The sequence below is a fragment of the Homo sapiens genome, chromosome 12 (assembly GCF_000001405.40).
Source record: "Homo sapiens chromosome 12, GRCh38.p14 Primary Assembly".
Taxonomy (NCBI): Eukaryota; Metazoa; Chordata; class Mammalia; order Primates; family Hominidae; genus Homo; species Homo sapiens.
In genome coordinates, this window is record NC_000012.12 from 40,209,942 (window position 1) to 40,233,969 (window position 24,028).

General features: G+C 36.9%; 1 protein-coding gene and 2 long non-coding RNA genes across 13 annotated transcripts in view, besides 2 other annotated features; 1 reads left to right on the top strand and 2 right to left on the bottom strand.

The window, feature by feature from the left end:
• LRRK2-DT (LRRK2 divergent transcript) overlaps positions 1-13,881 on the bottom strand; it is an 82,057-nt gene extending 68,176 nt beyond the window's left edge. For both annotated transcript variants that reach the window (NR_186757.1, NR_186756.1), the window contains exon 1: positions 13,718-13,881. This is a non-coding gene — a long non-coding RNA (LRRK2 divergent transcript). The remainder of the gene's footprint in view (positions 1-13,717) is intronic.
• On the bottom strand, positions 13,135-14,962 carry LINC01779 (long intergenic non-protein coding RNA 1779). Its single transcript, NR_186584.1, has one exon. It is a non-coding gene; the product is annotated as a long intergenic non-protein coding RNA 1779 (long non-coding RNA).
• Positions 14,822-15,181: a silencer, noted in NCBI's record as "silent region_4355". NCBI's record gives its function as "represses an Ori minimal core promoter by ATAC-STARR-seq in GM12878 lymphoblastoid cells {active_cell/tissue: GM12878}" and the evidence as "EXISTENCE:reporter gene assay evidence [ECO:0000049][PMID:35858748]".
• Positions 15,056-24,028, top strand: part of LRRK2 (leucine rich repeat kinase 2) — a 144,289-nt gene continuing 135,316 nt past the window's right edge. For all 10 annotated transcript variants that reach the window (XR_007063041.1, NM_198578.4, XM_005268629.5 and 7 more), the window contains exons 1-3: positions 15,056-15,341; positions 15,614-15,699; positions 22,333-22,442. Coding sequence is in view for 9 of the 10 variants with exons in the window: in NM_198578.4 (NP_940980.4) it covers positions 15,191-15,341; positions 15,614-15,699; positions 22,333-22,442 (347 nt within the window). In the remaining variant the exon portion in view is untranslated. The remainder of the gene's footprint in view (positions 15,342-15,613; positions 15,700-22,332; positions 22,443-24,028) is intronic.
• Positions 16,380-16,469: an enhancer, noted in NCBI's record as "active region_6207". NCBI's record gives its function as "activates an Ori minimal core promoter by ATAC-STARR-seq in GM12878 lymphoblastoid cells {active_cell/tissue: GM12878}" and the evidence as "EXISTENCE:reporter gene assay evidence [ECO:0000049][PMID:35858748]".

Here is a 24,028-nt window from a genome sequence, read left to right on the forward strand (position 1 = left end):
CTAAGCTACACAGGGTTTCAATAATCTGAGCTGCTTCTGGGAAGCCCCTGCCCAGAGCCCTGTCTTCCTAGTTATTCCTGCAAGGAATTTGCTCTGAAGCCTGGTCACTGCCACGCCTTCTCCAGTTCACCCTACCTTCATCAATTCTGACCTCTTTTTTGATCTTAGAAAAATTTTACCTCCTCCACTTCCTTCTCATTTCTCCCCTGAATGTACCCTCCCCCTTTCATTGGCACTTAACCTTTCAAAATAGGACAGGCCTTAGAATAACAAATGCCAGGAAGGCATCTTGTTCTCAAGCCCCATAAATCTCGGGCAAGAAACATAAACGTCATGGATAATCAGTTACAAATAGGAAGTGGAAGGAAATATACAGAGAACAAATATCCAAAATAATTTTTCAACAGAGAAGACAACTACAAAATCCTGCTACTTCTCGATTTCCTTATGTAAAGATTTGGCCAGATGGCCCAAGATGTTAATAATGTTAGATACAGGATTGGAGATACTGCAGATGGGCAAAGATCACAACCACTTCCCTCAGGCACAAGCTAAAATGGGTACCAGCTTCTAGAAGCATTTGGAAATTAACATCTAAAACACACTGTTTTATTTAAAGTTTACTTTTCCTCTTTTTCTTTCTCTTTTGTATTTATATATACACACATATATATCAATCATATGTGTATGTGTGATGTTTGCATACAATAAACTTACATATATACATGCATACATATATAATACATGTTATATGTAAGTATATAGTATAACATATTTATTTTGTATTTGTTTATTGTATATTAAATTATATATTATATTTATATAATATATATGTTAATAATATTAGATAGAATTTGTATATTACATAATATTGTATGTTATATAATGTGAAAGGAAAATATCTTGTGCCCCCAAAATCACTAAGGTAAGGGGAAAATTCAAGCTAAGAACTGCTTAGGGCAAACCTGCCTCCCATGCTATTCAAAGTATTCCCTTTGCTCACTGAGATAAATGCATAACTGATTGCCTCCTTTGGAAAGACTAATCAGAAACTCAAAAGAATGCAACCATTTTTGTCTCTCACCCACCTGTGACCTGGAAGCCCCCTCCCTGCTCCAAGTTGCTTAGGGAAAAAAAATAAAAATTAAAAAAAAAATTAAAATTCAGATTATTACATCTGTGTATCTCTTTGTATGCACTTTCAAAGTACTTATGACATTGAGTTACAGGGCTTTGACTCTTGGGTCCACAAAGGGACACCAAGTCCTGCTAAATTTTAAACACTGACAGCAATTAAAGCCCCATCTTCAGGCCCAGTACAAGATGTCAATCAAAATAAACTGCATTCCTGAAACATAGAGCCAGAAATTAAAGCTATTCAACTCCTCAAGGCCCAGGGACTATCATGGAAAAGGTGGGTGTGTGAGAATGTAAGAGTCAATCCTGAGTTCAGTTTCTCTATAAATTAATCATTAATGTCAAAGGCACACTGATGCAAGACCAGCATATGGGCCCGTGTCAGATTAACAAGGTTTTCTTGAAGCATTAGCTGACTCTTAAATAAAGTTTATAAAAGGTTTATGAAAGTTATATCTCATGGTCAAGATTAAAATTTTGTAGATTGTTTATAAAATTTTGAAAAACAAATTTAATTGGCTTCATGCTGTTTTTATTAGGGCTTATTATTTGGAAAATTCAGTCTCCTCTCAAAGAATGAAAGTCTTTGTCTCTCTTTTTGAAATTTTTGAGTTATCACTTTTGTCAAATGAATGACTTATTTTACAATGACCTGTGATATCAAGCATTTTAATCCTTTGATATTTCATAAACTGTCCAAAATCAAACTATAAATTATGTCTTCTGATCTAATTAATCCTTTAAGATATTAGGTCCCCTAAAGTCCAATAATGACATAATTTGCCTTATTTGATATAAAAATTGTACAGGAAACACTGTCAAATATGAATGGTTTTTTGTTGTTGTTGTTTTTGAGACAGAGCCTGGCCTGCTGTCCAGGCTGGAGTGCAGTGGTGTGATCTCGGCTCACTGCAGCCTCTGCCTCCTGGGTTCAAGTGATTCTCCTGCTTCAGCCTCCTGAGTAGCTGGGACTACAGGCGCCCACCACCACGCCTGGCTAATTTTTGTATTTTTAGTAGAGACGGGTTTCACCACGTTGGCCAGGTTGGTCTCAATCTCCTGACCTCATGATCCACCTGCCTCAGCCTCCCAAAGTGCTGGGATTACAGGCTTGAGCCACCGGGCACGGCCTGTGTTTGATTTCTTTAGGCTGTATTTGTATAAATGTGTTATTGGTATGCATCCCCAAATCATGGGAAACTCCTATAATTCTGATATAACTTGGTGTACATTATCAGTCATAATTTTTATTGTTATGTTAAATTGTTGTGTGGCACAGAGGTAACAAATTTGCTTGTCAATTGTGTCTTTAGCTATGGCTGCCATAAAACCTTTTGTCATCTATGGACAATTGTTGTCTTATTTTGGTCCTCGTTAAAAGGTGACTTTATAATCAGCTATAGAACTCTAACAGGTGTTCTTAAGTGCAGATTTCTGTTAACTTGGGAGATTGTGACATTAGAATAGAGGAAAAACTTTCAAGACTCTCATGGACAACCGAAATTGTTCATGAATATCAAGCAGAATGGGAGTAAACTGCATGAACTGAACTAATAGAAGACTAAAGTAATCTTTTTAACTTTTTGGTTAAAAAGTTGCTGATCCTTTGTTTTGTTTTTCAGAGTCAAGAAAAATTTTCTTTTAAGCTCTTTACAGCTTTTAACAAGTAAAGTATACTCCTATAAACAAAATTTGAAGTATATTTGTTTCTCTCTACCTGATTTCTCCAGAATTTGGAAACTATTTGTGAGTGTTCTTAACTTACAATAACACAGTTATTTGTATAAGTGCAGTGAAAATCTGTTTTCATTTATAACAGGACGCAATTGAAGAAAGTGGTTATTTTACCAAGGCTTTAACTGGAATGGTGTGATTTCCTTTAAGGAATCAAACTTGACTTATAGAGCCAATAAAAGCCCCTTGGAAAAACTAGCCTCATACCTTTTCCTACACAGCTGCTGCACAGGGTTCCTGACCTGGGGTAGGTAAAGAATGTCACTTTCTATCAGGCCCAGGAGCCCTGGTTTATCATGGAACTTCAAAAGGAGAGAATCATCCATCTCATGGGTATTTAATGGCACAAATCCATGGGTGGGCTCAACTTTAAAAAAGTCTTATCTGAGATTCCTCCTGAGGAACGCAGTTCCCTCAAAGCCAATTTAAAAGCATATGTAATAAATAATTATTTTGCTGCACTGTATGCAAATAATTAGGCCAGGTATAACAAAGCAAACCAGCTCTACCATGATTCATCTTTAGTAAAAATGGGAAACTGGAGAGAGAAATATTATGTTTCAAAACTATAGTACACCTGTTGTTAAATTCTAGTCTTGCCTAACATTTTTAAATTTTTATTATTTTCTACAGTTTGGACAGAATTCTAAGTTTTCTTAGCTATTAGTGTGCAAAATAATGTTTTCAATTTTTTTCTTTTTTCCATTTTTCCTTATTTGAAATTACTAAAAACTAAGATGTTCTTTCATAAAGCCCTGCAAACTGAAGCTAAACAACTTAAACTTCAGAAGAAAATAACAGCAATCTGTTTACATACATAAGCCACTTTCATACCTGCCTATCAACGTATGGACTTCAGAGTAATGTGGCCTACATTTATCTCTCACCTCTCTGTGACCTGGAAGCCATCTGCCTGCTTAAAGTTGTTTCACTTTTACTTCAAGTTGTCCCGCCTTTCTGGTCCAAATCAATGTTCATTTTACATATGTTGATTATGTTTCATGTTTTCCTAAAATGTATAAAACCAAGCTGCGCTCTGACTACCTTTGGCACATGTCATCAGGACCTGACTGTCTTAGTCCATTTTTGCTGCTATATCAAAATTCCTTAGACTGGGTAATTTATTGACAAAAGAAATTTATTTCTCATAGTTTTGGAGAAATCTATGTACCTTGTACATAGCAACAAGATCAATGTACCTTGTTGCTGTGTTCTAAAATGGTAGAAGGGCAAGAAGGGCCTTGTTAGTTCCCTTGAGCCCTTTTATAAGCCTACTATTCCCATTCATGAGGACGGAATCCTCATGGCTTAATTACCTCTTAAAGGCCCCATCTGTTAATACTGTCACATTGGGTCTTAGAGTCCAAATGTATGAATTTTGGGGAGACACATACATTCAAATCATAGCATAGGCCCTGACTTTCTACTCACTGATTCATGAACCCTGTGGGCTGGCTTCAGCCCACACCACCCTTCTGTAATAGCTCTTGGCAAGAAAACCACTATGTCCCTGCCACTAACACTAAGAGACATGGTGGCACATTAGCTCCTGGAGCTTATTTGTCCTTACAAATGTCCTTTTCTTTCCATTCCTTAAATGTTGGTATCTGCTATGGTCTGAATGTTGATGCCCCCTAAATTCATATGTTGGAACTTGATACCCACTGTGATACACCACTAATAAGTGAGGATTTGGGGAAGTGATTCATGAGGGTAGAGAATGGTATTAGTGCCATTATAAATGAGATTGAAAGGAATGCACTAGTTTCTTATACCCTTTCTGCCATGTGAGGACATAGCATTAGTCCCTTCTACCATGTGAAGACACAACGTTCACCCCTTTTGCCATGTGTGGATGCAGCAAGAAGGCACCATCTGGAAGAACAGGTCTTGACCAGACAAAAGATCTGATGGTGCCTTAATAGTGGACTTCCCAGCCTCCAAAACTGTGAGTAATAAATTCTGTTGTTTATAAATTACCTGTTCTAATATAATTTGTTATAGCAGCCCAAACAGACAAAGACAGTATTTTTTAGAGCTCTGTCCTAGGTGTTCTTTTCCTATTCTATAGCTTTCTCTGAGATATTAAATTTTTTCCTAAGAATAATTTATTATTTTTAAATTGGAGGCAAATCTACTGGAAGCTACATTTTTTTTCCTCTTAACTCCTGACCAGAAGGTATAGCCACATACCACTTGGATATGCTACTCACATGTAACATCTAGGATTCTAAAATTGAACTAGTTACTCCTATCTCCACCCCTCCCCCACTGAGCCTTGTTCCATCTCTGGTGGTACTTGGCTTGGTGAATACCACCACTATCACTTATTTTGTAAGCATTCATATTACTTCCTTTGCACCCTCACATAAAATCAGAAAACCAATTTAACCCATTCTGTGACTGAAATTTGTCTTAATCCATTAACTGTTTTCCAATTCTATTGCCATGGCCCCATTCAGGCTGCCATCATCTCTCTCCTGGATCCCTTCAATAGCCTCCTAAAATACCTTCTTTTCCTCTTCCTCCAATCTTGTCATTTTTGTCTCTTTTCCCACCCTAAAAGAATAAACACTGGCATAATGATCACTTAAAAGTACGAATATTTGCAACTCACTATCTTAAGGAAGACTTTGCAGTGGCCACCTTGTTTTGTTTAGATAAAGTCCAAAGCCCCTAACATGACTTACAAGACCCTTCATGGTATGGCCTTGGCTACTTTCTCAGCTTTATCTCCCCTCTCACTTACTATCATGCTGTCATCCAGCTACCAGATCTGCCTTCCAGACTGAAAGGTTTATTCTGACAGCTACTGGCACTGCTGTTGGTAGTCAGCCCTCAGCTGTCATCTGTTTTCGGAGTTCCATATATCAAATGGCTGATATACATGAAGTTATTGTAGAGATCTGGTCCTGTCATTTCAATTCAGGACAGCTCTGAAGGGCCATCTCAGCTTCAGAGCTCCCGGTAGGGTTGGCTGAGGCCTCTGTTAAGACTATCACAGCCCGACTTTTCTCTCCTCTCAATCTCATTTCCTTCCTTCCCTTCTCTTCCATATTACCTGGTAAAGATAAACCTTCTGCACACTAATCTCTGTTTCTGAGAATCTGCTTCCAGGGGAAAACAACTTATAACAACTCTCTGGTTTGCATTCCTGGCTCTAGCCGTACTGAATATCATTGAGTTTCTAGAATGCCTGTCTTGCTCTCTTTTGCCTTCAGGTTTGTGCCAGGAACACAGGCTAGAAGAAAGCCTTCTCTCATCTTATGTCTTATTCTAAAAAGGTCTCCTTTTAAATGTATTCTCATAGTAACCTCATTTTAATGTATTCTCATCCCCTCATTGCGACACCTGTATTACTCAGCACTATAACATCCCTAGATCATAAACTCTGTCTATTTTTGTATCCCCAGTGCCTGGTGAATAACAGATTCTCAGTAAACAATTGCTGAATTCATTTGTTCATTAATTTTGGTAATAGGGAAGCTTCACCCAAGTGTCCAAAATCCACTAGTGAAGACATGCTCTCCAACAGTTCAGTCTCCTTTTCCTCCACTTTTCTCCCAAAATTTATGTTAATAGGACTTTTCCTAGATGGCAATTACTGAAGTTTACTGCTTGTTTTTTTCTGTGTGTTCGTGGTCAATCCCTTTCAGATAATACACTTGTTCTTTAGATATGTTAATACATTTAATCAGTTAAATATACTGTTGCCTGCCTGGGTACAGTTGTCTTTCTTCAAAGTGATTTTAATATATTAGTTTTAATCTGATCTGCTTTTGTTGATTTTATCCTTCAATTTTTCCCCAAGATCTTATGGGGGTGAGGAGTTTCTCTCTATAGTTGCCATGTTCTGGCTGCTAATTACAACATACCCCTGTGGTGGAGGGGACTGTGTCAACATTCTTATTGGTTTAATGTTCCTTTTGTTGTGTACAGTTAAACAAGTATGTTTTCAATTGTTTATAGCAACTTAAATTGTGTTTTAGCAGGGTTATTGCTTTTACTTGGAGAGAAACACTAATTTTATGGAAAAGGTGACAATGGTAATGTAGAGATAATAAAAAGAGGCAAGAAGTAGATTCAGAAATACTCTTCTTAAAGATACTTACAATGGGAAAAAAGTGACCTCATTAATATAAAAAAAAACCTGAAGATTAACTTTACCTGTAAAACAGTCATCCATTCCCATTCACAGCCCAGTGAGCATGCTACATTTGGATTTCAGAGCTCACCACTGTGCAGAACTGTTCTCAGTAAGGTTGTCACTGTTACCCAATCTCAAGGGCACTTTTCAGTTCTTCCTGCTTTTGACCTTACTGGTAAACACTTCTCTGTTTAAGTAGCTGCTTGTACTCCTTTTTTCTCCTCTCACCCTCTCCCTGTACCTCCTGAGCCTCCTTTTACTCTTTCACTTCTTAACATTCCTGAGTCTGCTCTCTTTCTTCCTTTCTAAGCATGGTGAGTCCATCAAACTCAGGACTTTCTAGGCAGTCTTAGGAAACTTTCCCTTTCTCCCCTTATAGCAATTACTATTGTATATTATAATGTAACAGTGTTGTATTGCTTCTTAATTGTTTGAGTATTTGTCTCACTAGATTGTGAGCCGCTTCAGGGTAGAGATTGGGTCTTTTGCATTCCCAACCCAGCAGAGTCCACAAACAATAGGTACACAACAGTTGTTGACTTAATAAATACCCTGGGAGATACTTGTTTCTATATATAAATATACTTCTTTCTACATAAATTCTTGTCAGAATTTGCCTTCTTATTAATTTCACACAGAACTCTAAACAAAGTAAAAAAACCATATTTAATATACTCTAAAAAGATGTGTGCTCCTAATAGCAGGTTTAATTAAAATCATCCATGTGATAGTAAAAAAAAAATCTGGATTTTTCCGAAACTCTAGTACCAGTGGTGAAGGATATAATCCAAACATATTTTTTTCATTTGGAAAATAAGCATATTTGTGTCTTTATTTTATAATTACCTTTGGTAAGGTCATAAAATTATATTCTAAGGATATTTTAAAGTTATTGACTTGAAAAAACAATGTCTCTGCAAAAAGAAATTTCAAGTTACTTTTTTCCTATAAAGAAAGGTGATGAAAAGATTCATCATTTTATTCTTGTTCTTCATATAATAGAGATTAAATACCATGCAGAGATTAAATATCATGACTAATAATTTAATTTAATCCAATAAATATTTCTTTACCTATAATATAGCCAGCAACATAAAGGCAATGATCTGTTTTGGGTGAAATAGACAATGGCTTGGTTTCAGCACCATTCGAGTTGTCTCTGATACACTTACTATACACATGCACTTTTAAAACTTTTAAACTAGAATATAATATTGCCATATAATTTTGGAAGACTGCTTTTCTGAGGGAACCAAGCGTGAAGACTGTGAATACTCTGCTGTTATAATCTCAGAGTGACTCGGATTTGACTTTAATGAGTGATTATTTCAACTGATATGAGAATATCATACCACAGCACAGTTGTAATTTTTATCTCTAGTTCAGAAACCAGAAAAAATGTTTTTTTTTTCAGTATACATAAGGCACAGATGATAAAGGATAAGTGCAGTTTCAGCGATTAGATGGCTTATTTCTGGTTTAATGAAACTCACCTAAAAACAATAAAGTGATGGAAAAAGTTTGGACTGGGAACCTGGCATCACACAGTCCAGTTCTGCCTCTTAGTGATGCCTTTGGGAAGATCATTTTATTCTTCTGGCCTTCCATTTCCATTCATTCAGTTATTCATCTAAGTAACAAATATTCCTCTAATGGCTCCTGTGTGCCAGGAACTGTTTTGAAGAGTTGGTATAGAACAAAATCCAGGATGTCCTCCTGGAATTTTCAGTTATCAATGAAGTACAGTTGACCCTTGAACGATACGAGATTGAACTGTGTAGCTCCACATATAAGTCTTAGATGCCTTCACTTTGTGGCTTCTCTTCCACCTTCTCTACCTCTTCTTCCACCTCTGTCACCCCTGAGAGAGCAAGACCAAGTTCTTCTCCTCCTCCTCCTCTTCTCAGCCAACTCAATGTGAAGATGATGATGATGAAGACCTTATGATGATCCCCTTTCACTTAATAAACAGTAAATGTATTTTTTCTTCCTTATACTTAATAGCATTTTTTACTCTAGCTCATTTTATTGTAACAATACAGTATATAACACATATACAAAACTATGTTAATTGACTGTTTATGTCATCATCTAACATGAAGCATTGTTACATGTGTGTCTTATCTACTTTCAGTAGTTTTATTAGGCATGCACTTTTTTGGGTGTTTTTGGAAAATTTGGATCAAAATTCTGGAATTTCATGACATTGTTTTCTCATATATTGTGAATAATTTATTATTTCCTCATAAGAAACTCCCACACAAATTTCAAAGACTTCTTTAATAATTTGGTGAATGAAAAGTGTTAATGTATTGATTTATTACTTTGAGCATCAGTGAAGTTGAAAATATGTTTAATTATTTTTATTATGAAATAAGTTAGAAACAGAATACGGGTAATAATGTAATGAATACCCATGTACCCAATGACAAGCTTAAAGAAGAAGAAAGTTACAGATACACTTGTAGCCTGTAAAATATCCTTCCTGGATGCATTTCTACTTTCTTCTCCCCAGAGATAACCACTAGCTAGAATTTGGTAAATATTATTCCCAAGTATAATTTTTATACTTTTATACATACATATATATCCCTAAAGTATATGAAACCTTGCATATTTTATAGCATTGGAGCACTGATATCATGCTATAAGTATCCTCTGCAACTTGTAAAAAGTCCAGTATTACAATTTTTTGCTCTTTAGCCACTAATATATGGAGCTCTAGTTTAATAGTTTTCACAGATTTATAAAAGTTCATTATATGAATATATTCACTTTAAGTGTTGATAGATATTCATATGGTCTACAGTTTCATTATAAGCAAAAAATGATACACTGAAGATTCTTACATAAATGTCCTTATGTACATTTGAGAATTTCTTTAAGAAACAGCCTTAGAGTGAAAATGTCAGGTCATAGGATAGACACATCAGCTTTCCTAGATTTTGCCATGTGCTCTCCAAGGTGCTTGCTCTGATTTACACTCTTACCAGTACTACAAAAAGTATTCTAGTTGTTCCACATCCCAGCCAGTAGTTACTGGTATTATCCAACTTTAAGTTTGTGGTTAATGAGATGGTTGTGAAATGGTATCTCATTATGGCTTTAATTTTTATTTCCTTGATTACTTGTGTAATTGAGCATCTTTGGATAGGTTCATGAAGTTTACTGGCCTTTCCTCTTCTACATATTGCCATATATATAATGTACATATATATAATGTACATATATATAATGTACATATATATGTACATATATGTACACATATATATATAATATATATATTTTTAGACATATTCTCGCCCTGTGGCCCAGGTTGGAGTGCAGTGGTGCCATCTTGGCTCACTGCAACCTGTACCTCCTGGGTTCAAGCAATTCTCCTGCCTCAACCTCCCAAGTAGCTGTGATTACAGGCATGCACCACCACAACTGGCTAATTTTTATATTTTTAGTAAGACAGGGTTTCACCATGTTGGTCAGGCTGGTCTCAAACTCCTGGCCTCAAGTGATCCACCCACCTTGGCCTCCTAAAGTGCTGGTATTAAGGCATGAGCCACCGTGCCTGGCCATATTTTTTAAACTTATATATATAAAAACTAGGATACTTATCTTTTCATTTATAATTTGTGATAGTACCTTTTATATATTCTTCTTATTAATTTTTAATTGTTACACGCTTTCCCAAAATCTTCCAGCCTATGGTCATCTTTTAACTTTGTTGATGGAGTCTTTTGTATAGTGTTAGATTTTAATGTCTGTAAATTTAATAATTTTTTCCTATATGAACTGTGATTTTATTTTATTTTTTTTTAGTTTAGAGACAGGGCCTTGCTCTGTCCCTCAAGCTGGAGTGCAGTGTCACAATTGTAGCTCAGTGTAACCTATAACTCCTGGAATCAAGTGATCCCCTTGCCTCAAGCTTCCTGAGAAGTTAGGACTACTGGCATGCACTACCATACCTGGCTAATTTTTAAATATTTTGTAGAGACAAGGTCTCTCTATGTTTCCCAGGATCGTCTTAACTCTTGGCCTCAAGTAAGCCTCCCACCTCGGCTTCCCAAAGTGCTTGGATTACAGGTGTGAGCCACCATACCTGGCCTTAACTGTAATTTTTGTTTTGTTTCTTTCCCTCTTAATGTCAGATAGTTTTCTATATTTTTTTCAAATTTTTTTTTTTTTTTGAGACAGTCTCACTTCTTCACTCAGGCTGGAGTGCAATGGTGCGATCTTGGCTCACTGCAATCTCTGCCTCCTGGGTTCAAGCAATTCTCCTGGCTCGGTCTCCCCAGTAGCTCGGATTACATGCACGTGCCACCACACCTGGCTAATTTTTGTATTTTTAGTGGAGACGGGGTTTCACCATGTTGGCCAGGCTGGTCTCGAACTCCTGAGCTCAAGTGATCATCCCACCTGGGCCTCCCAAAGTGCTGGGATTACAGTCATGAGCCACTGCACCTGGCCTGTTTTCATTTTTTATACAAAAATGTTCAATCCATGTGGAATTTATTTTTGAATATGGTGTGAGGTAGGCATAATCATTTGATGCTTTTTCCACAAACAGTGGTCTCAGATTCATTTATCAAATTGCCCTTTTTTTTTCCACTGATACATAATGCAACATCTCTCATATATCATTTCCATATATGTGAAGATGTGTTTCTGGGTTTTCTATACTCTCATTGGTCACTTTGTATAGCTGTGTCAATAACATGCCAATTAATTTCTATAGCTTCAAAAAAGTATAATGCTTCCTATACTGTATAAGTTGTGTCCTCCATAAGAACACCAGGGTAGAGACTGAAATCCAAATCCTGCTTGATACACCCAGATATAAGGCTGTGCCTACCTAAAAGGCACTTTTTTCTAATTCATAGAAAGACTGCCTGCTGGGTAAACTATGTGCTTTCAGGGCTCCCCGCTTTCATCCTAGGGGTACTTTTTCCTTCTTCAGAAATTGATAGAGAAAGGCTACTACATACTCTGAATGGATGTCAATTGGACATCCAAAAGGACAAGATGGCAATTCTCCCATCTTGTCCTTCTTCAAAAGTGTCTAGTCTATACTAGGCCTTTTGATCTTGCTGAAATCTATGTAAATCTTGTTGAGAATTTCACTAATCTTGCATTGTTTTTTATTACTTTGTAGAGAATTGACATATTTTTGAATTTAGTTTTCCCATTAATTAATGTGATATTAATATTTATTCATGCCTTTTTAATGCCTTTTAACAGAGTTCAATAATTTATTCATAAAGGTTTTGTAAATATTTGTTAATTTATTTTCAAGGTTTCCCTTTCATTGTCATCATACACACACACACACACAATTGCACTTTATGCTTGTGCATCACTCATGTTTAGGAACACATTTTTTTTATAATGATGACATTAAAAAATACTTATTGGTCATTCAAAATGAATTTCCTTTTCAAAACCTTAGTTTATTATTTTTTTTCCTGGTCTATCTGTGGCGTAATACCCTCCTCCCAGTGATTTGTAAGAACTTTTGAAAGTTGAAGGCAAATTGTATTTCATCATATGTATTTCAAATTTTTTCTTCCTGTTTGCCGTTTGACTTCTAGTTTCATTATTGGGTATTTTTTCTTTGACTGCAGAAAATTTAAATTTGATGGAGTCACATATACTACCCTTATGTGATTTCTTTTTTGTTTTTATGTTTCCTTTTTCAAGATTATATAACTATTAATTTATATTTTATTTTTGAAGTTATTTTTATTTAACTTTTTAATCTATTTGATGTTTGCTGTAATTAGTAATGTCAGTTTTATTTTTTTTCTTTTCAGGAAATTAGCCAAATGTTCTAGCACCATTTTATTCTCCACTGAACCCTGCTTCCATCATAAATTCATGCCTTAATCTTCATTTTCAGTCTTGTTAACTACTTGAAGAGTTGATAAATCTTGGAATTTCAGTCAATCAATTAAACATTTTTGAAAACTAAGAGAATACTTTACCTTAACACTGCAGTAGTTCATGGGAGAATGCTCCCAACAAATAATTCATATTTTCACACTGTCTACTCACAGTCTGGCCAATATAGAGTAGATAATAAATAGGCAATAGATGGATGAATGAATTGTGGAAATTAGGAGACATCTTTTAATTTAGATTTATTTTTCTTTGGAAGGGAGGTAGGTTTTAATTTCTTGCAAGGTTGTAATTCAGTAGAACAGGAAGGGAGAAACTAATGCAGAGGAACAGAAGGAATGCATGAGATGGAGAATGCCTAGAAATGTTTGAGACATTGATTAAGTCATCAGAAATGGAAACAAGTTTAGAAACAACTTAGAAAATAATACACTGTAGGTCTGATAAATATTGTAAGATTGGGAGTTTTTTGTTAAATTATGGAAAATTTTATATAGATACAATAGTAGAACAGACCACATGAACCCATCTCATATTATCTTCAACAATTATCAATTCAAAAGTTGTTATCGTTATCTCTATCTCCACACATTTCATCTTTTCCTCCACCACTGGATGACTTTGAAAGAAATCCTAACCATTTCAACTATAAATATTTTAGCATGTCTCTGTAAAAGTTAAAGACTCTATAACAACAAGACATAGACCCAATATCCAGGTTGAGTAGGAGTTTGCTATCTTACTAATCTAATGTATTAACAAAGTCTAGAGCATTCTTATTAAAGTGGTAGAGCATGAAGAACCTTCTACCTGGAGTTAGGAGATTTGCTGGGTTGAAGTCCTGGCTCTCAACTTCCCACCTGTGTGACTCCAGCAAAGCTCTTCACTTCTCAATTCCAAATCTCAATTTCCTCACTAGTGAAAGAAGGATACATAGTAGTAGTTGTATCCATTTCAGAATTGTCATCAGGATTGAAGTAACAGATGTGAAAACAAAACTAAAATTGTGAAGTAGTAACTTCCAGTCCAATCCTCTTCTTTGTAAGTGATCTTGAGGACAGACACATCACCTGAAGGATAGATCATCTTTGCCTAGCCTTGTCTACAATGTTCTTGCTAGGTTTCTTTTCCTAAAAACACATTACTTAGGTACTTAACAGAACAAACAAACAAACAATCAAAAGACAAAACCAAAAAACTTTGGGGTTATAGACACCCATACTCATAAGTATTTCTGAATACCAAGAGAAGAGTATTTAGGTTTGCTTCTCTCAACTTTTCACCTTTCATTTCATGTACCCTGTCCTTTGTCTCAGCTCTAATAGCTCTGAGAGCTGATTACTTTTCGGGTGTCCCAAGTATCAGGATCCTGCCTAGTGCAACTCAAATTTCCAAAAGTTAATTTAGTGGCCTTTTGGTGACCAGAGCTTCAGATAACTCACAGGGAAACAATGTTTATTTCCTCTCCCACTAACAGTCACAAAAAATCATAAAAAAGAGTAGCGGGGGCAGTTTTGATGGCTAACCCCTCTTTCCATCCTTTGGGGGAAAATTGCTCATCTCCCTATAGGTGGAACTCTAAAGACAATGTATTCCTAAAAGGGGCCATCTGGGCGGTGTCCTCTTTTCCCAGCGCCCTGATTTCTATTCTTAGATCTGGAGATAGGCGGCTTTCATTTTTCCTGCTCCCAGTTCCCAGACCTTCCGTGGGGCCGCAGGATCCCCGGCTGGCGGGTCGCGGAGGGTGGCCGGCCGGGCTGCGCACTGCGCGCCTCCGCTGCGGGGCTCCGGGCCTGTGGACTCAGCGGAGTCCGCTGAGTCAGTTTCTTCCCGCGCGACTCCCGGCCGCGCCGCCGCTGCGGTGGAATCTGGTCCCAGGAGGCGGCGTCCGCCCGGGGTCCGGTCTAGGCGTGCGTGGGGGCCACGGTCACGGTCATCCCAGCCAGGCCCGGCTCCAGCAGCCCCACGGCCGCCGCCAGAGTTCTGCGCGGCCCGTCGCCTCGGCGGAGCCTCTGGCAGGCCCCTGAGCTCGTTTTTGGGGCCTGAGTGGGGGAGGAGGAAGCCGAGCAGGAGGGCTCCGGAGAGGGAGGGCAACGCGGGGCGGGGAGCTGCCTCCTTCCTCATAAACAGGCGGGCGTGGGCGCCGATGGGGCCCGCGGGGAGCGCTGGCTGCGGGCGGTGAGCTGAGCTCGCCCCCGGGGAGCTGTGGCCGGCGCCCCTGCCGGTTCCCTGAGCAGCGGACGTTCATGCTGGGAGGGCGGCGGGTTGGAAGCAGGTGCCACCATGGCTAGTGGCAGCTGTCAGGGGTGCGAAGAGGACGAGGAAACTCTGAAGAAGTTGATAGTCAGGCTGAACAATGTCCAGGAAGGAAAACAGATAGAAACGCTGGTCCAAATCCTGGAGGATCTGCTGGTGTTCACGTACTCCGAGCGCGGTAATCACTTGAAAATAAACTGTGCTTTTATTTTTGCAAACTTTCTCCCCCTCCTTACATTTGCAAATTTTGTCCTCCTCCCCTTGACCCTGCTCAAACCCGGACTCTTAAGGAGCCGCAAACTCCCATATCCTTTCCTTAGGGCAGAAAGCAGCTGAGAATTTCAGGAAGGTCTTCACCTTTTTGACTTTTCTCCCCGTTTCAGACTAAAAAGGAGAGGGGGTGCTGTGGATTGTGACTTTGCTTCTTTTCCCCACCCACTTGTTTTCCAGCCTCCAAGTTATTTCAAGGCAAAAATATCCATGTGCCTCTGTTGATCGTCTTGGACTCCTATATGAGAGTCGCGAGTGTGCAGCAGGTAAAGGCATTGTTTTCACTTCAACTCATTCTCCCTTCTGTTTGGAAGGAGACGTTTTACTGGCAATGTTAATATAGCCGAGAGTTCTTGGTTATTCCCAAAATTTGGCTTGAGGAACCTCTGACTGTGATTTTAAGATGGGAATATTGTTAAATCATTACGCAATGTAAACGGGATGAAGAGCCCCAGTATGTGTTCCCTGAGTGTCTTTAAGAAGTAACTTTATAAAACCAACAGTATGGATGGTGGTAGAAGGAGGATAAAAATGGGTTCGGTTTTAGTCTCGTTATTGGCAAGATGAATTCATTAGTGTTTAGACTTGACTATTCCAAGTATCTTCCCAATACAGAGCATGTCCTAGATGAGAAGATTATGAATAGTTTGGAAAAGGGGAATAATTAATAGTGATAAAATGCAACTTTGTCACTAGCAAACTCTTGTAGAGTTCAGCACTTTTTAAAATTCAAAGATTTCTAGCCTTTAGTTGTAGTATACCTTGTAGTATCTAAAGAAAGTGATGTCTTATGAGACCCTCATAGTTTGCAACTGTTGTCATATAAAATGCATGTAGAAGTGAAACTTTTACAATCTGTACCATAGGAAACCCAGAAATTTGCTATGTATCTTGGATTTTTTTTTAAAGGGGGCCTTAAAAATGGTAATTAAGAATGATTTACAGTCAAAACAAAATTATAGGCCAAGGTGATAACTTCCTTCGGAGCACTTAGAGATTTGGGGAACTGAAATCAGTTTTGTCATCTGCATGTTAACTCATGCAGAGAAAGAGAATTGGACTTTGAACTCCTTGGAGGTGCAGTCAGAAAGCCAATGTTTCTTAATGGTTGAGAGGCTTGACAGACATGAGGCATCTCAATCTTTAAAGTGGTGTGGGTCTATCTTTATCTTGATGTTTATCTCTGTATCTAGCTGTATCTAGTCTGGGTGAACCATCTAGCTTCTTTGATATGAGGACATTTACATCTGGAAGAAATATTTTAATTTGTTTTCAACTGTGAAATATTTTCCATCTGACTATTATAGATTTTCACGCTGCTATCAAACCAAACCAAGAAAAGATGGAGGCATAATAAAGATGCTGTTCTTTTAAGACTCAAAGTCGGAATTTTGCCTGTGGAATATGAGTCACTTTTTGGGCACTGGCCTATTGTGCTTCCTGCTCTGCACCCACGTCATCCCTTCTTACTTGTCTCTGCTTTGGTGTTCAGAAGTGCCTGATTCTGGCCACCTTCATTCCCTAGACTCTGTACTTGATAGAGTCACTCCTGCTTGATACTGCTCAGGACAGTCAGATCCTGGGTAGGCGTTTTGGTCTGCAGGGTCTAGATAAGGCAGTGCTATACTTGACAACCCAGGGGAGCCTGGAACATACTTCCTAATTCTTAATTTTAGAAATTGCCCAAGCCTGAGCATACTTGTCCGGAGTAGTTATGAGTGTCACTTAGTATTTCTGCCTAGAGAGTACCAGAGGCAAAGTATGCTGGAAAATAAGGAAGAGTTTTTTTAAAAGTAATTAATTACTTTTTTGGATATATCATAGTTGTATATATTTTGGGGATACATATGCTATTTGATACATGTATACAATGTGTAATGTTCAAATCAGGGTAACTGGAATATCCGTCACCTCGAACATTTTTCTTTGTGTTGGCAACGTTGCAATTTCTTTCTTCTAGCTATTTTAAAATATGCAATGAATTATTAACCATAATTTCCCTGCTATACTATTAAATATTAACTTAATTGCTTGTATCTAATTATATTTTTGTACACATTAACCACCTTCTCTTTATCCCTCCCCATCCTTTCATTTCCAGTCTCTGGTAACCACCATTCTACTCTCTTCCTCCATGAGATCCACCTTTTCCGCTCCTACATATGAGTGAGATTATGCAATATTTTATTTCTGTACCTGGCTTATTTAATTTAACCTAATGACCTCCAGTCCCACCCATGCTGTTGCAAATGACAGGATTTCATTTTTTATGACTGAATAATATTCCATTGTGTATGTATACCACATTTTCTTTTATTTTTAGTTAAGTAATTAATTTAGAGACAGGGTCTCACTCTGTTGCCCAGACTGGAGAGCAGTGGTGTGATCAAAGCTCACTGCAGGCCTGCAATCCTGGGCTGAAGTAGTCCTCCTGCCTCAGCCTCCCAGGTAGCTAGGACTATAAGCATGTGCCACCATGCTCAGCTAATTTTTTTTTCTTTTTTTACTTTTTGTAGAGATGGAGTCTTGCTATGTTGCCCAGGTTAGTTTCAAACTCCTGACCTCAAGTAATCCTCCTGCCTCGGCCTCCATATTTTCTTTGTTAATCTGTTGATAGACATATAAGGTGATTCTGTATTTTAACTATTGTGAACAGGGCTGCAATAAACATGGGAGTTCAGATATATCTTTGATATACTGATGTTCTTTTTTTGGATATATACCCAGCGATGAGATTACTGGATCATATGAAAATTCTCTTTTTAGTTTTTTAAGATACCTCCATACTGTGTTTCATCATGGCTGTGCTACTTTATATTCCCATCAGCAGTGTACCACCATTCCCCTTTTTCTGCATCCTTACCAGCATTTGTTATTTTTTGTCTTTTTGATAATAGCCATTCTGCCTGTGGTGAGATAATATCTCATTATGGTTTTGATTTGCCTCTCCCTAATGATTAGTGAAGTTTAGGATTTTTTTTTCATGTACCTGTTAGCCATTTGTCTGTCTTCTTTTGAGAAATGTCTATTTGGATCTTTTGTCCATTTAAAAATAAGACTTTTTTTTTTTTTTTTTTTTTTGCTAATTGAGTTTTTTTAGTTCCTTATGTATTCTGGTTGTTAATCTTTTGTTGAATGGATATTTTGCAAATATTTTCTCCCTTTCTTTATGTTGTCTCTTCACTTTGTTAATTATTTTCTTTGTTGTGCAGAAGCTTTTTAGCTTGATATAATCCCATTTGCCTATTTTTGTTGTAATTGCCTGTGCTTTTGAGGTCCTACCCCAAAAATCATTGCACAGACCAATGTCCTGTAGCATTTCCCCAGTGTTTTCTTCTAGTAGTTGCATATTTTCAGGTCTGAGATGTAAGTCTTTAATCCATTTTGAAATGATTTGTGTATATGGTGAAAGCTGTGGATCTAGTTTCCTTCTTTTGCACAGCCAATATTTGATTCTCACTGAAATCTCACTGCCCTCCTGGAAATATTACCGGATGTTTTACTGTCATAGCGAAGTGAGAGTAAGCTGCTCACTGAGGATCAAAGAGCTTGTGACAGACCTAAGACTCAAGTCTTCTCACACCTTCAAAATCTCTTTCCATCATACAATCTACTAGCTGCTGAATTCGCAAGCTTTTTGTGCAAGCTAGTAAAAAGCAAAATGGTTTGATACAAATACTGTGGCCATGCTAGGTACAATGACATCAATTTAAATTATCATTGGTCTTAACAAGGGGATGTAGAAAGGGGTCTCCTACTGACATTTTAATACTCACTTAAAAGTAGTATTTTTCCTTCAGATTTCTTTATATTATTAGTATAATTACTGTAAGTATCCTTTACTGCTTTATATGTTGAATTAGCTGGAAGTGCCAAAAGAAAAACTCTTAATGATAAATTTAAGGTATTAAGGTAAATTTCTCCTTCATTTAATTTAATAGTAATTCTTAATTACTATTTAAAATAAAGATTAAGGTTTGTTTCTAGATGCCATTTAACATGATATTCCAGACTGCCAGTTTTATTTTCAAAGTTTGTTTCATATTTTATTAATGTTTCTTCATAAATGACAGTCTTTAGAAAATTGACGGTTAAGCTAGGTGCTTTATATTTTTCTTTTCCTGCCTATCTTTTCACTGTGCTCCTAAATTTTACATCTCTTTATTCTCAAGGGTTCAACCTTTGAAGAAGGGGAGCAAAATAAATGAAAGTGGCTAAAATTTTTTCTTTAACCCCTAGACTCTTTCCTGTTGTGCATTAATTACATGCTTGAGTTTTTAGAATAATTATAATAAAGTAAAACTACCAATTTAATTGTATTGTAACTGTGCAAGATGGGAACCTTCTCTCTTAGAGAGATAAGCTTTTAATTGAATAGATTAATGGATCAATTGTTACCTCTGCTTTGCTGCCAGAGATTCTATTTAATCACAGAAGTTCCATGTAGTGCTGGAGAGCTCAGTTGCCTGAATCTTTTTGCAAAGCGTTTACTGATACTGTTGCTTCACCAACCAAAACAAACAGGTTTTTTCCTTGAGTCAGCTTTGTAGGTACAGAGATGAGTTTGGCATCCTATGTGACTTTTTTTTTTTTTTTTTTTTTTTTTTTTACCACCAGAAGCTGTTCAGAATGTTATTTTCTTAAATAGTTCGGAAAAAAGTCTTGATGTATTCTATGAAAGCACAAAAATAGTCAGTTTCTATGACAGCTGGATTGTCAACGTCTGTTCAGCTTACGTGGAGGAGGATGTCCTACTTGAGTAGTATAGGTAGAAATAGCTATCAGAAATTGCCGCCTTTGAAAGCAATTTGAAATTATGTAAAAGGAAGTAATGACAAAATAAAGCAATTTATGTTTAATCTGGAAAAGATCCAAAAGTAATATTGTAAAGAGATCTTGAGTAATCATTTTTATCTTCCTAAAATAGCCGTTGTTTACTCCCGTAAGCGAGTAAGAAACTTGTGCCATTATTCCTTATTGGGTGCATATAGATTTCTCACCTTGTCATTCAACTCCTTGCAATATTCAACTTTACTTATGCATCCAGCCTTATCCCAAAATAGCCTCTTCCCTGTAGCAGCTTCCTTATCATGTAGCAGCCTACTCTCCTCACCGCTCATCCGTTCTTATACAATCTGGCTTAAGCTCTACCTCTTCATATTATATTCTTCTCTGAGTAATTTCAACTCACACTGAGTCTTACTTTCAGTATTTCTATTATATTGGTATTTATTACACATCACACTTAGATACTTTTCCATTAGTCTCTAGAGGGTACATATATGCACTTTCTCTTTTTTTTTTTTTTTTTGACCATGTCAAGTATAGTTCTATAGTATAATAGAATGAATTGGAGATCCTTTACATTTAGAGAGGGAGGAGTCTACAGTAGGAAGAATAGGTTAATTTTCATCTCCGGTTTGAAATCAGGACTTTCAATTTTTTTTTCAGAGGTAAAGAGCAACTTAGTCAAGTTGGCATCTTGTAAACAGACTGAGTGAAGATATACTTAAAATGCATCTATAATTTCATATTTTATTTCGAAATGTGAAAGAGCCTACTAGGGGTGTCTGTGATCTCTAGACCTTATCAATTCATTCTAGAGAAATCTGGAGGGAGCCATTGAGGAGTTCTACCTCCTGTCTATTTTATAGAGCTCTTTCTCTTTTTCTCCTATCAGATGTAGATTCAATTGCTAAAAATGCCACGTTTCTTGCCTCTATTATTCTAGCTTCATTACTTGGGGAGCAGCCATTCTGATAACTTACATTTTGCTACTAAAATCTCCAACTTCACCTAATCCTTCATTATAAGCCACTTCATTTTTTCCTATAATTAAAATTTTAAATATGTGGAGGAAATTCTGTCAGGTAGATATGACTTAAAACCTACTAAGGGCCAGGTGCAGAGGCTCACGCCTGTAATCCCAGCACTTTGAGAGGCCAAGTCAGGAGGATTGCTTGAGCCCAGGAGCTTGAGACCAGCCTGGGCAACAGAGCGAGACCCCTGTCTTCACAAAAAAAAAAAAAAAAAAATTAGCTGGGTGTGGTGGCACATACCTGTAGTCCCAGCTACTTGGGAGGCTGAAGTGGGTGGATCACCTAAGGACAGGAGTTCTAGGCTGCAGTGATCTATGATTGCACCATTGCACTCCAGCCTGGGTGACAGAGTGAGACCCTATCTCAAAAACAAAAACAAAACCAAAAAAAAAAAAAAAACAAGAAAAAAAAAGTACTAAGGATCTGGTATAGCCATTCTTGCACTTAATAATCTTGGTACAACCTCTAAAACTATTTTTTATAGTTTATTTTATTTTGCCTTATTTAGACAATTGGCATGTCTATGTTCTTCATAATTTAGAAATTATATGTATTTATATATATAAATTATATATATTATATATTATGTATAAATTAAATTATATATATATATAATATATATATATTTGAAATGGATTCTTGCTCTGTCATCCAGGCTAGAGTGCAGTGGCACAATCTTGGCTCACTGCACCCTCTGCCTCCTGGGTTCAAGCGATTCTCCTTCCTCAGCCTCCCGAGTAGCTGAGATTACAGGCGCCCATCACCATGCCTGGCTAATTTTTGTATTTTTAGTAGAGACTGGGTTTCACCATCTTGGCCACATTGGTCTCAAACTGCCGGCTGAAATGTTGTATTTTTTGTATGTCTTTCTGGTATGATTTTTGGAGAAAGGTGTATCCTAAGAATACGGCTTGCTTTTGTTTCTGGGTAAGCATTTTAGGGTATCATTTTGTTGTATAACCATTGTTTACAAGTGAGATAAGCATCTATTCCACTAAGATTGAAGAGATTCATGTTTGACTGAGTATGCTCTATTAACATTCTTTAAAACATGTGAATATATGTCTTTCTTGTTTTCAGGTGGGTTGGTCACTTCTGTGCAAATTAATAGAAGTCTGTCCAGGTACAATGCAAAGCTTAATGGGACCCCAGGATGTTGGAAATGATTGGGAAGTCCTTGGTGTTCACCAGTAAGTATGATAGATATGTAAAACAAATGGCCTTGAGTATTTATTTGTACACATGACAACCTTCCCTTGATACACTGTGTTTGCAATCCAAGGCTACTCCTGTGGAATTCTTTAAAATACAGATATTTTTCCTTGAGTCAATGATTTACATTTATAGAGAGCTTTAAACTCAGAAGTTTGATTTAGAAAGCAAACATTTAAGGTAACATGTCAGAAGTTATTATTTTAATAATATAATCATATAATTATAAAACTGGTTAAGTTGTAGATTTTTGATGAGTACTTTTGAATTCAAACCATGAAGAGATTTTGGCTTTTAATAATAGAATCGATACAAACCACTAGTTCTTAAAAAAATGGGAACTGAGAAAAGTTAGTTCTGTAAGTAGTAATTTGAAAGTTGATGTTCTACTGTCTTTAAATAGTACATTTATATATATATTCCTATATATACAGTAAGTTTAAACTATGGCTTTCAGAAAGAGTTAAGAAAGAGGAAATTAACTTTCAGCACATCTGTAGCCAAATCTTGATAGTAATTTTACCAGCTATGTTTTTGCAGTTTGCAGCATAATGGCTTCTTAGATGAGACTACTTCCTTAGCCATCATTAATTAAGAAAATATTTTCTCAAGAAGAATGTGTTTCCAGGAAAATACATTTTGGATAGCTTTGTTTCTTGACAGTTAAAAAATATCTTCTAAGCTACTGAGGAGGCTGAGGAAGGAGAATCACTTGAACCTGGGAGGCGGAGGTTGCAGTGAGCGGAGGTTGCAGTGAGCCGAGATTGCACCACTGCACTCCAGCCTGGGTGACAGAGCGACACTCTGTCTCAAAAACAAACAAACAAACAAACCTTTTGTCATTAACTTTAAATCTTTTTTATACCTAATATGACTTTTCTTTATCACAGAAAAGGAAATTGTGAATATTTTTTGGCTTCCAATGGTATATGGTTTATGAAAATTTAATTTATGAAAAATTTTCAGGTGTTTGTATTGCTGATCAGTGTCAAGTAGTGCTATAAATTTAGACAAATTAGAGCTATGTGTTTGTCCATAAGTGAACATGTCTGTGCTTATACATTTTCCCCTCTTTGACAAATGTGTTGCTCTTCTTGTTTTCAGTACATAAAGGGTGTGTTTTGGAAAGAGCATATTTACAATTAATTGGAGTTCTCGTCTTCAATCTAATCTCTGTAATTCTATGTATCAGTTCTAAAGTATACAGCATTTGATGAGGAATTACTCAAAATATACCAGTAATTAGGAATTGTAACTTTAAATGTCCCTTGGTTTGGGTGATAATTTCCAGGAAGTCCAAAGATGAGCCAGTCTATAACCTCAGGGAGTGTTTGGGAAACTCATCTAGTCATATTCCTGTACAAACCAACTGTTCAAATTAAATTACATAAAAGTTTATGTAGGAAATTTCATTCACTCACTCACTTACTCATTCACTCACTTTGTTCATCCAGTCATTCATCTTCTATTCATTGAATGTTTTTGAAGCCTGTCCTCTGGGTCAGAAACCATGCAGTTGTGAAGAAGATAGACACACTGCTGTCTCCAGTGGAGTGTATTAGAT